Source organism: Homo sapiens, chromosome 6, assembly GCF_000001405.40.
Source record: "Homo sapiens chromosome 6, GRCh38.p14 Primary Assembly".
Lineage (NCBI taxonomy): Eukaryota > Metazoa > Chordata > Mammalia > Primates > Hominidae > Homo > Homo sapiens.
Window position 1 is genome coordinate 67,440,729 of NC_000006.12, and position 1,100 is coordinate 67,441,828.

Genomic DNA, 1,100 nt, shown 5'->3' on the forward strand with positions numbered 1-1,100 from the left:
CACATGTTCAGGAAAGGATAGGAAGGCCTTCACTTGTTCACTTCTGGCCGACTTTGAAGTACTGCACAAGCAGTAAGAGAAGCCTAAGGAAGAATTACACACAATCTCTCTTTCTCTCTCATTCTCTCTCTGTCTCTCCAAAAGAGAAGCTTACTGGCTAAAGAGATTTAAGGAAGTTATTGGCTGACAACTAAGATAGCTAACTGCTGATCCAAGGTCAATCTGTAGGAAGTCAAATAAATGATGATAATAAATAAGACAAAACAAAGAAACAAAATTGAGGGACACATTAGTAACTGTACACTGCAGAGAATATAGACTAGAGAGAATTAATCTAGAAAAGTAAACAAACACCAATAACAACAGCAACAAATATCAACAACAACTGTTGGGAGATCTGATTCCAGAATTTTTACAATAAATTACATAAAATGTCTAGTTTTAATCCAAAAAAGATGAGAGACATGAAAACTAATTGGAAGTTGGTCCATACCCCCCCCCCAAAAAGATATAAGTAGAAACTGTCTGTGAGATCCTAGATATTTAACTTAGAAGACAAAGAATAAATCAGCCTTTATAACTGCTTAAAGAATTAAGAAAACCATGTTTAAAGGAACTAAGACAAAGTCTGACAACTGTATCTCACCAAATACAAATGATCAGTAAAGAGATAGAAATTATATTAAAAATTAGAAATTCTAGAGTTCAAAAGGATGATAATTAAAATTGATTTTAGTAGAGGAGCTTAACAGATCTGAGTTGACAGAAGACACTATCAGTGATTACTAAGAGTACTAAAAATAGTAACATTCAAGTAGCTTTGAGCACATCTAGTACTCAGCTACTGGTTTCTAATACCATTCTCCAATGGAAGAAACTAAAACTCATTGTAGTAATGCCTGTTCTAGGACCAGTGCAAAGAAATACAAAATAAGCCTGAAATATCTTGTAGTACAAAAATGTTAAAGAACCGCTAAAACAATAAAAGGATAGAGGTGTGTCAAACAGACATAGGAACAAACCTGAAAGAACTTCCAATGACTATGAGTGGAATAGAATAAATAACATAAGTGTTGGATCACAAACTGAAGACTGAAATA